The following is a 16,893-nucleotide window of genomic DNA, read 5'->3' on the forward strand; positions in this document are numbered from 1 at the left end:
CTGAACAAACTGATACAGAGATTCCACAAATCCAAATCAAAACTCCTTTAGGATTTTTAAAATAAATATCAATAAACTGTTTGTAAAATGTATATGGAAAGTCAGAGGCACTAGAATAGCCAAAGCAGACAAAGAAGAACAAAGTTAAAGAACTCAGAATATTGCATTCCAGGACTTACCTAAGTAATCAAGACAGTGTCACATTGATGAAAGAACAGACACATAGATAAATGGGGGCAGAATAGAGAGTCTAGAAATAGACTTATACATACATGGTCAAAGGTAATTCAGTAAAGACAGTATAGTCTTTTCAATATTGATCTGAAATGATTGGACATTGATATACAAAAAGTAAATCTTGACTCACACCTTGTTCTTTCTATAAAAATGAACTAAAAATGGATCATAGGTCTAAATATAAAACACAAACCTATGAAACTTCCAGAAGAAAACATAGGGTAAATAGTTGTGACCCTATGTTAGGCAAATATTTCTTAGATATGACATTAAAAGCATAAATAAAAATAGGTAAAACTGGACTTCAGAAAAATTAAAAACTTTTGTTCTGTGAAAGACACTGTTAAGAGACTGAAAATGCAAGCTACAGCCTGGCAGAAAATATTTACAAAACACATTTCTGACAAAGGACTCATATCTAGGACATATCCAAACTCTCAAAACTCAACAATAAGAAAAACAATACAGTTAAAAATGGTCAAAAGAGTTGAATAGATATTTTATAAAAGAAGACGTATGGATGGTAAATAAGCACATATTCAACATTATTAGTCATTAAGAAAGTGCAAATGAGTTAATACCAGACATCTATTAAAATGTCTAAAAGCAAAACAAAAACTGACAATACTAAGTACTAACAAAGATGTGGAGCAGTAAGGACTCTCATACATTGTCAATGGCAGTACAAGATAATATTTCACTTTGGAAAAATTTGGTGGTTAATTATAAAGTTAAAATAAACTTATCATATAGAGCCCACGATCCCATTCCTAGGATTTTACATCAAAGAAATGAAAACTTAAATGCTCATACAAAAACTTGAATATGAATGTTTAGAGTGGGTTTATAATCACCCAAACTGGCAACAACCAAATGTTCTTCAACTGGCTAATGGATAAACAACCGTAGGACATCCATACAATGCAAGACTATTCAGAAATAGAAAGCAATGAACTATTAAAACACATAGCAACATAAATGAATTTTTATTATTTTATAACAAGTGAAAGAAGCCATACTAAAAAGGCTACATGCTGTTTGATTTCATTTGTATGATATTTTAGCAAAACTATAGGTACAAAAAACAAATCAGTGGTTTGCTAGAGTTTGGGAGTAGGAGTAGAAGCTGCTAACAAGAGGAATAGGGAAATTTTGGGAGTGAGGAAACTGTTTTATATCTTTTTTTTTTTTTGAGACAGAGTCCTGCTCTATTACCTAGGCTGGAGTGCAGTGGCACAACCTTGGCTCACTGCAACCTCTGCCTCTTGGGCTCAAGTGATCCTCCCATCTCAGCTTCCCAAGTAGCTGGAACTACAGATGTGTGCCACCATGCCCAGCTAATTTTTGTATTTTTGGTAGGAATGGTGTCTCACTGTGTTGCCCAGGCTGGTCTCAAACTCCTGGGCCCAAGACATCCACCCACCTCAGCCTCCCAAAGTGCTGGGATTACAGGCATGAGCCACAACACCTGGTCTGCTCTATATGTTGAGTGTGGTGGTGGTTATAACAACTTGGAGGCATTTGTCAAAGCTCAAAGACCTATTCACTGAAAATAGTCAATTTTACTTTATATATATATGTATTAGTCCATTTTCACACTGCTGATAAAGACATACCCGAGACTGGGAAGAAAAAGAGGTTTAATTGGACGTAGTCCAGTTCCACATGTGTGGGAAGGCCTCAGGATCATGGTGGGAGGATAAAGGCCCTTCTTACATGGTGGTGACAAGAGAAAATGAGGAAGATGCAAAAGCGGAAACCCCTGATAAAACCTTCAGATCTTGTGAGACTTATACACTACCACAAGAACAGTATGGGGGAAACTGCCCCCCATGATTCAAATTATCTCCCACCGGGTCCCTCCTATAACATGTGGCAATTATGGGAATACAATTCAAGATGAGATTTGGGTGGGGACACAGCCAAACCATATCATTCCACCTCTTGCTCCTCCAAATCTCATGTCCTCACATTTCAAAACCAGTCATGCCTTCCCAACAGTCCCCCAAAGTCTTAACTCATTTCAGCATTAACCCAAAAGTCCATAGTCCAAAGTCTCATATGAGACAAGGCAAGCCCCTTCTGCCTACGACACAGGGCACCAAGTGCCTAGGCTGCAAACAGATAAGGACCCTGGGCCTGGCCCATGAAACCAGTTTTTCCTCCTAGACTTCCAGGTCTATGATAGGAGGGACTGCTGTGAAGACCTATGACATGTCCTGGAGACATTTTCCCCATTGTCTTGGGGATTACCATTTGGCTCCTTGACACTTATGCAAATTTCTTCAGCCAGCTTGAATTTCTCCTCAGAAAATGTGTTTTTCTTTTCTACTGCATCGTCAGGCTGCAAATTTTCTGAACTTTTATGCTCTGTTTCCTTTTTAAAATGGAATGCCTTTAACAGCACCCAAGTCACCTCTTGAATGCTCTGTTTGCTGCTTAGAAATTTCTTCTGCCAGATACCCTAAATCATCCTTTCAAGGGCAGGGGCAAAATGCCACCAGTCTCTTTGCTAAAACATAACAAGAGTCACCTTTGCTCCTGTTCCCAAGAAGTTCCTCATGTCCATCTGAGACAACCTCAACCTGGACTTTATTATTCATATCACTATCAGCATTTTTTTTTTTCAAAGCCAATCAACAAGTTTCTAGGAGGTTCCAAACTTTCCCACATTTTCCTGTCTTCTTCTGAGCCTTCCACACTCTTTCAACTTCTGCCTGATACCCAGTTCCAAAGTTGTTTCCACATTTTCAGGTATCTTTTCAGAAACACCCCACTCTCGGTACCAATTTATTGTATTAGTCCATTTTCACACTGCTGATAAAGACATACCCAAGACTGGGAAGAAAAAGAGGTTTAATTGGACTTACAGTTCCACATGGCTGGGGAGGCCTCAGAATCATGGCGGGAGGCAAAAGGCCCTTCTTACATGGTGGTGGCAAGAGAAAATGAGGAAGATGCAAAAGCAGAAAGATCTGATAAAACCATCAGATCTCATGAGACATATTCACTACCATGAGAACAGTATGGAGGAAACCGCCCTCATGATTCAAATTATCTCTCACTGGGTCCCTCCCATAACATGTGGGAATTATGGGAATACAATTCAAGATAAGATTTGGGTGGGGACACAGAGCCAAACCATATCAATAATGTTATACCTCAGCTGGGCTCGGTGGCTCACACCTGTAATCCCAGCACTTTGGGAGGCTGAGGTGAGCAGATCACTTGAGGCCAGGAGGAGTTTCAGACCAGCCTGGCCAACATGGTGAAACCCCATCTCTGCTAAAAATACCAAAATTAGCCAGGTGTGGTGGCATATGCCTGTAGTCCCAGCTACTCTAGAGGCTGTGGCAGGAGAATCATTTGAACCCAGGAGGTAAAGCTTGCAGTGAACTGAGATTGCACCACTGTGCTCCAGCCTGGGCGACAGAGCAAGACTCTGTCTCAAAAAAAAAAAAAAAAATATATATATATATATATAAAACATATATATATAACATATATATATATAAAACATATATATATAACATATATATAAAACATATATATATATAACATATATATAAAACATATATATAACATATATAAAACATATATATATAACATATATATATAACATATATATATGTTATACCTCAACTTAATGAAAACATTTCAAAAATTCAATGGGAAAAAATAATATATAATTTTTCAAATATTAAAAAAAGCCAACTAGCAAAAAAATATGTGGTTAAAACTGAGAGATAAAACTCAGGACGAAGTGCTGGCTACATGGCTCTGAGTGGAGTGAATGCTTATGAGGAGGAATCTGCTCCTGCTTGCTGTGTACCTTAGACATGCAGAAGAGGAAACACTGTCTTTCCAATTCATTACCTTTACAGAATCACAACCAAATCATCCATTCACTTCATAAGCTCTCATAAATGTCATTTTGAGTTTGTTTGTTTTCTCGTCCAAATAACTTAGTCCTGTCATTTATGATTTGAGGAGTTCTTTGCTCTTCCACCCATGTAAGCAAGCCCATAGTATTATTTTCTTGAACATTCAGAGATCATTTCTTAACACAAACCTATTTTCTCTTCATATAGAAAACACAGAGTGACTGGTTTGTGACACAAAAATATATTATGTATATACGTGTCTGAAGATTCAGCAAGCCTAGGATTAGGTAATTTACACACTATTTAATGTGCGTTGATCGCTCCTGTCTTCATAAGTTTTGCTAATCATTACTTTCCCTTTAAACTACTACCTTATTTATGTCAAATGCAGAATATACTAGAAAGAACATTGGATTTAGCATTAGGAATACTGGGTTTTAAGGTCATTTTGGCCCTAAACTAGCTGTATGGCCTTGGTAAAATGACTCATCTCCCATAACTAATCCTTATCTTCAGCTCTGACCTCTCTTCAGGGCTTTAATTATGAAACTTCAAATTCCTACAGACACACCACCTCTCAGGCAGCATTTAATTCTTCAGGAATATAGCTTTTCCTGGATCTTTTATTATTACCCAAATTATAATTGTTATTTGCTCAGGTATTCACACCTCATTTCTTCAACTGAGTTTCTTCAACAAGATAATACGTTGTTTTAAGGGGAAGAAATTATCCATATATACATCTTTGTCTCCTTACACTATCTATCACAAACTAATAGCTTAAATAGGCCAGTTTGGTGCTACAATTACTTGAGTTCATACACACGAGTTTGAGGAGATAATCACTTGACTTTGCAAAAAATACAGCCAAGTTTGACACACTCGTAGTTTTTCAGAGCCTTCCCTCACCACACATGCTGAGCCTGCTCATGCTTCTTCCCTCTACTGACCCATCCACACCCCCAATCACTGTCTACATCCCCATGTTGTTTTAGCTTGACCATAGCATTTATACTCTCTGAAATAAACTTTCCCCCTCCTTCTTTCTTTTTCTCACTCTCACTCTCTCTCTCTTCTTTCTCTGTCATTTTCCTAATCTAGTGTCCAAAGGCCCCTGCTAGGATTTAAGCTCCATGAAAACACAAACTGATCATGCTCATTAACAGTAGTACATTTAGAACCTGCACCTGGGTCAGGCACATGGTAGGCACTCAGTGAATACTTGCCGAATAGCTGAGCTCGCCCTTCAGTATAGTGATGCCTGTTGCAGACTGAACAGTGGAAAGAAACAAAAATACTTCACATGGTTTACCTGCAAAGAGGTTCTACAAGGTCCTTTTCAAGAAAATCATGATCATTCTTGACAGCCACAATGTTGATGGGAAATTGTGAATCTGAGAGAGAAAGACAAAGAAGTTGATGTACTTTGTTTTATCTGAATGAGCACCAACATATTCAGACCTTCAAGGTCTGTAAAAGCCACTGATTTTAATAGCAGTGACTGCCCATCATCATTGTTGGGAATGTTTAAGAGAGCAAAAAATTGCTATCACTGTAAATGCTTTTAGGAGTACAATATAAGTGCGAAATATGAGGATAGTCAAGTGCTTGACCTTGGATAGGATTGAACACTAAGTGCCTGCATTTTTCTAGCTCATCCTTATTACAGTCTTAGGTGGATGTGGCCTCAGAGAAGAGCTTTTGTGCTTTCACCATCCACCTAACACGTAGGTCACTGGCGTCTATCTTGATGGTTTCACGAAATACTTAATTTGGCAGATTTTTTTCCTTCAAAAAGGAAATTTCCAAAAATACCCAAAGTTCTATCATCTGAAATTTTTTTTAGTAGCAAAATCTTTATCACTCTGGAGTATCAGCAAAATACTCAAATTGATTCTATCCAAAAAGAATAATTCGAACACTACTTCCCTCCAACAGACAATTCATGCCAGCTTTGAAGGTCACAGGCAATATTTAGAACATGGTGTGAATTCTGGGTACCTCGTTCATGGAGGTAGCAATCTGCAGCTCATTGGAATAGAGGACATAGCCAAATGTAACCATGCTGGGTCACTATCATTGACTTGCCACTTTTTCCTTTATCTCATCTTGTATTTTGTGCTGTCTACACCTTGCCAGTCATGATAAATCTAAGGGTATCTAAATTTTAGCATGAGTTGGAAACAGACATAATTCCCCTTCTGGTGAAAAAAAATCATGTGAGTGACTTACAGATGGTTCCAGAGTGAAGCTGTCTTGCTCGGCTAGTGAGGGAGGGAGGGAGACACTTGTGATTTTTTTTCATGGAAGGCTGCCTCTTGCCAGCTGTGCTCCTTCCTAGGGTCTGGTTTGAGGCTCCTCTCTCCTCCTGGGCTCTGGCACTCTCTTCCTTGGCCTGTCCCTTTGGGCTCATGGTAGTGACAGCTGTGCCACTACAAGCCCTGGGCTCTTGCACTGTGCACCGTTCCTCGTGGCCACCCCCTGTCCTGCCTGCACCTTTGCAATGAGCACTGTTAGAAACAAATCCTCTGTAAATGGCCTTGAGCCTGCCACCTGCTCATTGTTGGGGTCCTGACTAGTTCATTACTAGATAAGGACAATCCGAGAAGAAGTTAAAAGCTTTGGTTATAACTTTAGATATAAGGGACATGAGTATGTCTATTAACTGTCAATTAAAGAATCAATGAAAAGGCTGGGTGGTGGCTCACGCCTGTAATCTCAGCACTTAGGGAGGCCGAGGTGGGAAAGTCACTTGAGGTCAGGAGTTCGAGACCAGCCTGACCCACGTGGTGAAACCCTGTCTCTACTAAAAATACAAAAATTGGCCAGGTGTGGTGGTGCCCGCCTGTAATCTCAACTACTTGGGAGGCTGAGGCAGGAAATTGCTTGAACCCAGGAGGCGGAGGTTGCAGCGAGTGGAGATTGTACCACTGCACTCCAGCCTGGGTGGCAGAGCCAGACTCTATCTCAAAAAAAAACAAAAAAAAAACCAAAAAAAAATCAATGAAAGGAAGTGTAATGCTAGCAATAAGACACCTTACCTAAAACTCGGAAGAATAACATCTGATTCATGTTATATCTTGACATTTTTCATATAAAGTAAACAGAATTAAACAGAAATTTCAGGATAATTAATTTTGTGACTTCTAGGAAGTTTTTTAACAGTGAGTTCATTGTGATTTCAAGAAAAGTGAGAGTAGTAAAGGAAAAACAAGGAGAAAAAGAAGGAAGTGCAGAAAAGCTGCTGATGGCAGAATGCTGGAAGGAAAACGTCGAGTTGGGGTTTGCGGTAAAGAGATGGGAATTAGTAGTGGGAAGCAGAAAGTAAAGTGGGCCTGGGAAGTGATATTCATTTCTAAATTGGTATCAGGATAACCCCTGGGCATAGCAAAAAGGCCGAGGGAAAAAGAAAGCGAAGCAAAATGGGCGAGAAAAAAAAATCTGGAAGTCAAAACACACCACAGGATACGTGTGGTTCATTTTGGATTTATTCTCTGTGTAAGAGCGAAGCGAAGGGCTGACGTACCCTCATATAACTGAGCGTATTGCGGGAACCCGGCAGCACGGAGCCAGTCACATGCTTCTTTTGCCTCAATTTCTGAAAAACACAAGAGAGATAAAATTGTGAGTCCCACAGCCGCACCCTAGTACTCTGCCTTCTTAATCATGGAGACACTGGTGAGCTTTGTGCAAGTTATTACAAAGCAAAATTGTTCCAGGTAAGTCTGCATAAGTAGGCTTACCCGGGAGTGGGTGGAAAACGAGCGGGTAATACAAAGGTCCTTGTTATGTGTCTGCTAAGATAATCTTCAATGTAGATCCATAAGTATGTGGATAATAACAAAACCACAGATCATAGAAGACAAAGGCTGAATTTCAGGCAGGGAAAAATGTCTTATTTATACACCAGGGAACCAGGGCACTAGGGGAAAAGAGGGCATTCTTCTTTACAATTCTTTTTTTTTTTAATGGAATTTTTTTTTTAAGTTCCAAAGATTAGGCTAAAAATGTTTATTCAACATTCCTTCATTCTTTCACTCTTGGGATAACTTTAAGAAAGACTACAACTAGATTGCCTATGAAAATGTATTTTCTCATGAAAAAAAGCTAAAATCCAGTGTATTATTGTTTTAAAAATTTCACTAATAGCCTTAATTCCCCATGCATTATAACAAAATGTTCATTAATCAAGCACATTGGAATGATTTCAAGCTGTAGAGTGCGGCATAGAAGAGGAAAGTTGATTATTTGGAATTGAGACTTGAGTTTGATGAGCCTGCCAGAACCTCTGAGGGCCAAGCCCAAGAGGTTGATATGTCCCTTGGGTGACCATTTTTGGTGTGGATGCACCAACAGCCCACCGGACCACCTGCCTGGGGAAGCTGTGGAGTGAGATAGGAGGAGTCTACAGTATGTGAACCAGGTCACTTTTTGACCTTGTGAATCCTGGATCATTTCCCAACCACAACTCTGTTAGACAAATATGAATCCAAGGGGAAAGAAGTTCATCTGTTGAAAGTCCAGTCTCTCCAAACAAAATTAAACAGCCTATTATCACAAGTCTTTACCAAGGCCCTTTCCTCCGCTGTTAGGATGGGTCCCTGTCAGGTCATTGTATTTCCATTTACTATGATGCTAATTTTTCCCCATAGCCAAAGCTGGAGTGTACAGGGCGTTCTTGGGATCACTGCACAGAAATGATCTACACTAACATCACCCTGGGCCTGCGATTGTACCTCAACATTGAAAGCTCAGTGTCTGTGCAGTAAGATGTTTGATGTGCCAGAGCTATTTGGTATATGTTAGGAAAATAGACCAAAGGCCAGATCTTACTCAGGCATCACCAGGAAGAGCAAAACCCTACCGCCTAGTTCCACAGATCTGGTTAAATCTAGATTGAACTTTGTCATTAAATCCAAGGAAACAGAGCCTGTGGTGGCTCCTGCCCCGGAACGCCTGCCTCTTCTGTCATCCCCTAATCTACTGTTACTCCAGGGACTGATGATTTCAAAAGCTTGAGATTTGTCTCTTGTGTGAGGGTTTTCCACTTAAGTGTGACCAGCATGTTCCTACCATGTACCCATTCCTGCCATGGACACATGGTTCAGAAACATCCAGGGAACCAAGCTGGAAAGAAAAGCTATTGAAAGCATTTCTATCAGAAAAGGAGTCTCTGAGTTCCACAACTGCTGTTCAAAACACAGCTTAGCTGAATTGTGCTGCCTGGGCTAACTTGGGCTTTCCTCTGGGAAGGTACAAAAGGCAATTATTGCATTGCTCAAAAGTTCTATTTAGTACCCAGTTGAGAGTCTGTATTTGAAGGTTCCTACTTTGATAACCACACAAGTATTTCAGAGGAAATAGGAAAACATACATTCCATCTGTAACGTGTGGAAAATGTGGTGAGTTGCTCCTGAGTCATGGATAAAGTGCTGCCTAATAGATTTTCAAGCTCAGATTTGCTTCCCGCTCCCATATAATACAGCGGATAGTAACGAGAAAACACCTAATTTCTAGACATGCTCTAAACCTAATTATGAGTCAGCAAGTCTTGGAGAGAAGCACAGAATATTATATTTTCTCTTGGCATTACATGAATCCTATGCCTTTTTCTGTTTTATTATTACCTTTACTACAATGAAAATGTAGTGTTCAGCAAGACAGTCCCAGAGAGCCAGGCCATGAAGAACAAATGGGGAAGACCCACAAGACAGGGGCTCTGCAGCCTAGAAAGCTCAAAGACAGAGAGTGGGAAGTGACCTATGAAAGAGTTCGCACCCCTCCAGCCCAGGGAATGTGGTGAGCTCAGATCCTGAAGATGAAAAGGATAACATGGTGGAGAAGAAGTGGGCAGCCAGGAATCCTTCTAGAAAACTCCCTTTGGAACATCACGTGTTTTCACTAATTTGTGGGATCTAAAAATCAAAATAATTGAACTCATGGACATAGAGATTAGAAGGATGGTTACCAGAGGCTGAGGAGGGTAGTGGGGGCTGGAGGAGAGGTGGGGATCATTAATGGGTACAAAAAAAAATTAGAAAGAATGAATAAGACCTACTATTTGATAGCACAACAGGGTAACTACAGTCAATAACAACTTATTTGTACATTTTTAAATAACTAAAAGAGTATAATTGGATTGTTTGTAACACAAAGAATAAATGCCCGAGGGGATGAATACCCTATTCTCCATGATGTAATGAGTTCATATTGCACACCTGTATCAAAATATCTCATGTACCCCATAAATATATACATACGCTTACTATGTCCCCACAAAAATGAAAAATTTAAAAATTTTGAAAACAACACTCCTTTTGGAACTTAAAATTCTGGTTGGACAGTGCAATGGGGCTGAAGCTAGCCAGGGAAATTTTATTTAAAAGGCTCCTCAGATAATAGCTGCATTTCATTTTTTATGACAGCAACATGGATAACGAACTGAAATCCTATTCAGATACATACATGAATAACCAAATTTTAACCAGAACCCAGATAAATCAATCATTCAAATAAGATGATTTTTTTTGTTTGCTTTAATGGGCAGGCACTTAAACTTTTAGACCTCAGGCTTAAATGACAACAAAACTGCAATGAGTAAATATCATAAATTAGAAGCAGCCCTGTCCTAGCCATGGCAGGTGACTCCTCGTGTAGCATCATTTCCTATACCCAACTTGCCATTCTATTTGCCCAAATGTCTCTCAAACACACACCCTCATTTCATATTCCCCCACCCTAGCTGCAGTCCCAACATCTTGATACCTCAATTTAAGGACAAAGCCAACTCTCATTTACCAGCTAGTGACAAAACAAGCAAAATAATCTGGCATAATTAACCCCTATCAAATCTGAGTTTGCCCATCCAATTGAGGGGGGAAGGGTAAAAAAGTCTTACAATTTTTATTAATTCTTCATGGCCCCTACTAATACCAATCAGCCAAATACTAATGCTTTTCCCCAGGCCCTTCCACTGGCCAAAATGACTGGAGAACTAAAAAGGAATCATTATTGCCAGTGCCATCATTTCACAAAGATCTACCTAATGAGATTTAAATGACATTTGAGGAGAAAAGTGTGAAAAACTCTTTTTTATTGTTCTCTTGCTAGCCAGCATAATATTATGTAAAAGCATTAAGAGCTATTAAAATCACATTTTGACAGTTTTATTTGTTCTCCATTTGCTACCCTTACCCACCCCTGTAGCAGCTCCAGGGCTGCAAGGCAAAGCCTCAGCTCACTGTAGCTGTCTCATGGAAAACCTGAGTGTGGAGTGAAACCAGAGAGTGGACCTGGACAGAAGGGCCCACCAATCTCTACGGAGGTTACTGTGCTGCTTTGCTGGTGAAAATCCAATCCATTCAGCTTGGTATTATGAAAAGATTTCTATGTAATTTTTGTAACTATTCTATGTAATAATTATTTCATTTTGCTCTCTGGCAGGTATCTATTTTTGTCTGTCCAACATCCTTCCCTACGTATTCTGATAACGGAACCTCTTTCTGCAAGGAGCCTCTTCTACATGGTTTATGTAGGGCTGACGCCTCTTGCCTCCAAGCACACTCCCTAGCCCTATCACCACCACCCACATAAGGTGACCTGATTCTTAAGAGCACCCCATCCCTGTTAGTCTAAGGAGACCAATAGTCATTTGGGGGCTGAAATCAACTGGTTGAAAAGGGAGATATCCAGTGTTTCCACTGGTAGCCTGGTCTAGCAAACATTTTCACTGTTTTACTCAGTAAGTTCAGTGGTTGGTGTGGTGCTACCCGTGCTATTCAGCCATATATCTGCGATTCCACTTAAGGCAAAGTCACTGGCTTTGCCTCAGTTGCCTTACACATGCTTTGAGCATGATGTGACCACTATCCTCAGACAGACCCAGCAGAGGGAAGCTCTTGCTAGCACCTGGGGAGGCACCCACTACCATGGGCATGAGAACAAAGGCACCGTGGAAACAAACCATGGCCGATGTGGGTTTTCACATGAACATATTATCATGTTTCTTAATTATACATGCCCAGTGTTGAAAACTTCCTAATAGAGAAAGTCACAATGAATGAAAAAAGTCAACTCTTGCCCCATTATGAACACCTAACTTTATATATGTTATCTGTCAAAACAGTACTATGCTAATATCTTTGGTTGACTGCTTTTTTCACTTAAGAATACATTGCGAATATTTTCTTATATAATGATCTTATTTGTAAAAAAAATGGGAAATTTACTTTGTTTCGAGAATGATGCTTATTTTTTAAATATTTGATTTTTGAATACTGCCAATTGCATTTCCCTGTAGGAAGATTATAACATCAAGGTAGCCAAGAGAAAAGAGTTCAATAGGACCTCACCAGTGTAGACTGACGGTGGAGAAGGCTGGAAGTCTATGGGAGTTAAAAGAGATTTACAAGCTGTTTCTTTAATGTAGTCTCTTAGCTACAGACAGTCTGTGGACAAGGCTCTGTAGGACCTCAGGCAAGTCAGGAAACATAGTGAGCACAGCAAATTTGCTGCCCAGGTTTGCAGGCCTCATCTCACATTACAACCTCATTGTATTTTTAAGCTGGTGTGTCTAGCGTGCTTCTAGCATGCTTGGGAACAGTGTGTTCTCTTGGCTAAGCATTTTAAGTATGTACATTTTGTTTTACGTTTTTCTCAGCATAGCAAATACTTTTTCAATAGCTCACTGAAAGGTATTGGGTATCCTTTCTAAATGACCAAAAATTCAAATGAGGCCCAAATTAAAATTTATTATTATCAGACATGTAGCTGGCTAGAAAGAATCTGTTCTATTGTGGAAAGTTTATGAAATCATTACATACGAGCACATGTATTTATGTTGTTCCTACAAATCTCCTTGAATTTCTATGGACAAACTGGCTCCAATTTAAATAGGTCTTCTTTTTTAAATGTTCGTTAAAAGTACTTAAGAGAAGTAAGGAAAAGAAAGAGTGTGATCGTCATGGGATTTAAGAAAAAGTAGGCTTGAGTAGAGTGTTTTGTCTTTTCCTTTAAACTGGCCTATTTGGTGGGCACCCTGTTTCTAAAAGACTACGGGTACCAGCATAGCAGGATGACTCAGCCACCACAAGATGCCTGCAGTGGATGAAATTATCACTATTAAAGTATATCAAAGGTGTTAACATTTCAACGGGCTTGTGGTTGCTGGCTTAGGATAATTTATATGGCTAAGGTAGCTTCATTAGTAACTTTACTACTTCAGGAGAATGACTCCTTTGTCTTCAGACAGAATTTCTCTAGTGAAGTCCGTATTTATTGAAGGTGTATTTCTTTGGCCATACATTAAGCCAGTTTTGTTAAAATCAATGCCAGGGTATCCATCCCATCTATATATGGATACCAATGATGCAATCATTAATATTACATAGAACCATACGCTACCACCATAATCCTGCCAGGAGGGCTTTATAACCTTAGTGACAGATACAGGAAGGAATGTCAGATTTTTAGTAGTAACAGACTTTGATTTACATCCCATGGTATGGCATCAGGATATATCTTTTTGCACTTTTAAAATTATATGTTAAGTTATTTTGATATGTAAAAGACCTTAATTGTATACCAAATATAATTTTTTCCTAATATTCATAACATTTTCTTTCCATGATTTTCTAAGTTACTAAGAGGAACTAAAATACAGGTTATTTGGAATGAATTTGGGATTATTAATCACTGAATATTCAAAATAGTGGATCAACTTATAAACACCCACTTTATCTATCCATAATTTGAGGCAATCTTTTCCTTGATGTGCAATAAAATATCTGACTGTCAGCAAGTATACAGCAATAGGAAGAGGAAACCTGGAAGACCCGTATAGAGTGATCACGCTTACCTGTACTCAGTCAAGACAGAGACTCTCAGCTCTGTTTATGTGGACTTCTTTCCCAAACGCAAGAATGAGAGATGTGTTGAGACATAAAATTCCTTCACCAATTCTACACATAAGCCTTGTTTCCTAGGCCTTGAAATATCTTCTGGAAGCTGGATTCATAGCAAATCTAGTCACTTAATTCCTATTAGAGTAAAAGAAGATCGAGCAAATTCTCCAGCTAAGTAGAGAATAAACCTAAGCAGGTTTATTCCTCGTCACTCAAGGGTTATTTTTAATCAGTCTTTTTCAGCCTGGTTGGGGAAACCATAGATATTACGACATATGACATATACGTAAACAAATACGTTACACATATTTACTGTTAATTTTTAATTAGCCTTAAATATATAATTAACATATATATATACTATATAGTCACACACACTTATGCATTTTTTTTTCTTTGTATGCCCACAGTGACGCCCTGCCCTTTCCAGCTGCCATGTGCAGTTCTCCTGCAACTAGGAGGCATACCCTTCCCACCTCACTAATGTTATGCTTGGCCATATGACCCACTTTGGCCAATTAAATGTGAACAGATGTGACCTGTGCTAGTTTCAGAAAAACATCTCAAGAGCCATCCCCTAACCCAACCACCTTTCCTGCTCTTTTCCCTTTACCATGAGGCTAAGAGATATTCCTTCAGCCTAGGTATTGGAATGATGACACTGGGGACAGAGAAACAGCAGACCAGCTGCTGACATGTAATATAAGCAATAAATACACTTGTTTTATGCCACTACAACTTGAGGGGCAATTTGTTCAAGTGGCATAATCTAGCGTAAGCTAATGTAACACAGCTGCCAGCTATTCACTCTATAGATGAGGCATATGGAAGGCACTATGGACCTTTATCTCAAGCGGAAACTGTTGTTGCATGTCTGTTAGTGTGGTGTAGAGATGAACATAGTCTCAGTAATCATTTCTGCTCCGAATTCTGCTTCTCTGCCTAGAGTGCATGATCTATATGAATTCCAAAAAATGTTGTAAACAATCCTCACATGCATCCATGTGTGTGAATGTGTGCTCATATACACATTTGCACCACAGAAAATCAAAAGCTCCGTTGCAAGTGAATGAGGAAACTCATCAGAAATATATTTTCCATGCCTGTATTCCCAATAGTATTTAAAAAGAAAAAAATGTTTACAATCCCCAAACCCCAGTCAATCTGAGAGAAAAAGAAAGCAGAAAATAGATGCTCTCCCAGCCAAATAGTTTCTGACCAGATTGTTTTGACTCAAGTTTTCCATGAAGCAGAGTAGTTCTTTATTCTCCTCTTTCATTTGATACAGATTGTTCCAATCAGGCGCTTGTGGTATTTCTCAGGGAGGCTGCATGCATACATCCCCAGCTTTTTGAAGTTGTGGAGCCACTGCCTACCACTAAATCCCAAGAGATTCTTCAAGATGGAGTCAGTCAAGCAACTGAAATGCAAGGCAGGGAACACAGAGTTGACCAGACAATTAGATAGAGCATCATAATTTGCAAGCATTGGCCAAAACACCTCCATGTTGAACCACCAAGCCAGTAGAGTCTTCAGTAACCCTTCTTGGGACAAGTGCATGAGATTCTGCAGATTGTCTCTCCCTCTCTAATTCAGTTTCTCCAGCTTCTGTAGGAAAGGTGGTGAACAAGAGTCCAGGTTGCTGTCTTGATATTGGCTCTCAGAGCCGAGCTCCAACTTCCACAAAATTGGCCAAATGACCAGTATCAGAAGGGCCTGTGGGTACTCACTCTGTGTCATGCTGATGATTTCTTGCCTGGGGAAGAGCAACTGCTTTGGACAAATCCCACCACCACTAGGAAGTCAGATTTCTTAGCTTTTGACAGGTACTCTTCCATCCTACATTGCTTTAAGATTTTTCTTTTTTAAATGTTAAAAAAATGCGTGTTTTTAGGGATGCAAACTCCTCCTGTATCTTTTCAGACATTTCTGAATGTCTATGCTTGTAAGAGGTTATCTGCTGTTTGATTTGCTCAACTCTTTTTTAGCTCTTGGTACTCCAATTACCCAAGAAGATTTCATGATAGCAGGGGAAAACCTTGCCATGTAGGTGAAAGAAGGAGCACAGATTCTGTTAGGATAAAGTCACTCCAATACTTCTGCAGGCCCTTTTCAATTCCTTTGCTCCTTTTGGGGTTGACATGGCAAGATAGATACAGCTTGGCTGAAGCTTCTGACTCCCTCTGCAAGGCTTTCTGCATGTAACTTCTCAGCAACTGTCATATCTGGATCAATCAAAACTAGTTCTTGCTTAATTTAATTCCAGGAAAAGATTTCCACAGCTCAAGTATAATCCTATTATCTGAGTATACATGAAAACTTGATATTGTATGTATTTTCTTAAAAAATTCCTTGGCACTGGCTCAGAGTGTAAATAAAATATTTACTAGGATTTTTCAACGTGTCTTTGCCAGTTTTCTGGAACCCTTTCTACTTGTCTGCTGAACGTAGGCAACAGCATTGGCAGTATGAATGATTTTCTAAACATGCATCACTCATTCCAGGAATAAAGATTACATTCAAGAAATGAAATTGTTACTAGGTTTACAGCTATCGATAGATTCATTTTTCCCTATGCTCTTCAAGGTCAAAGATACTGCTGAGCTTAAAAGTCTGCTCTCTAAGGGATTTTTATTTGCAGTTTGTTAATAGATATTGACATTATATATTCCTTATAGAAGGAAATTTAAAATGAGTTCAGGTATTTGAAATAGCTTTACTTGATTTGGGATGGAAGAGATGAAGTTCTCCACTGAAGACTTAAGAAACTTAATTCCTATGCTGCAACTCCCTTTTGTCATCAGGCACAGTGATGCATCAATGACTTGTATCATGCTACAATCTAAACACACGGCATACTCAGATTAAAG

General features: G+C 39.3%; 1 protein-coding gene across 11 annotated transcripts in view; it reads right to left on the reverse strand.

Moving 5' to 3' along the window:
* STARD13 (StAR related lipid transfer domain containing 13) overlaps positions 1-16,893 on the reverse strand; it is a 573,658-nt gene that overhangs the window by 56,767 nt on the left and 499,998 nt on the right. For all 11 annotated transcript variants that reach the window (XM_017020835.3, NM_001243476.3, XM_047430759.1 and 8 more), the window contains 2 exons: positions 7,648-7,719; positions 5,434-5,515 (listed from right to left, as the gene is read on the reverse strand). In XM_017020835.3, the coding sequence (XP_016876324.1) occupies positions 5,434-5,515; positions 7,648-7,719 (154 nt within the window). The remainder of the gene's footprint in view (positions 1-5,433; positions 5,516-7,647; positions 7,720-16,893) is intronic.

The sequence above is a fragment of the Homo sapiens genome, chromosome 13 (assembly GCF_000001405.40).
Source record: "Homo sapiens chromosome 13, GRCh38.p14 Primary Assembly".
NCBI lineage: Eukaryota > Metazoa > Chordata > Mammalia > Primates > Hominidae > Homo > Homo sapiens.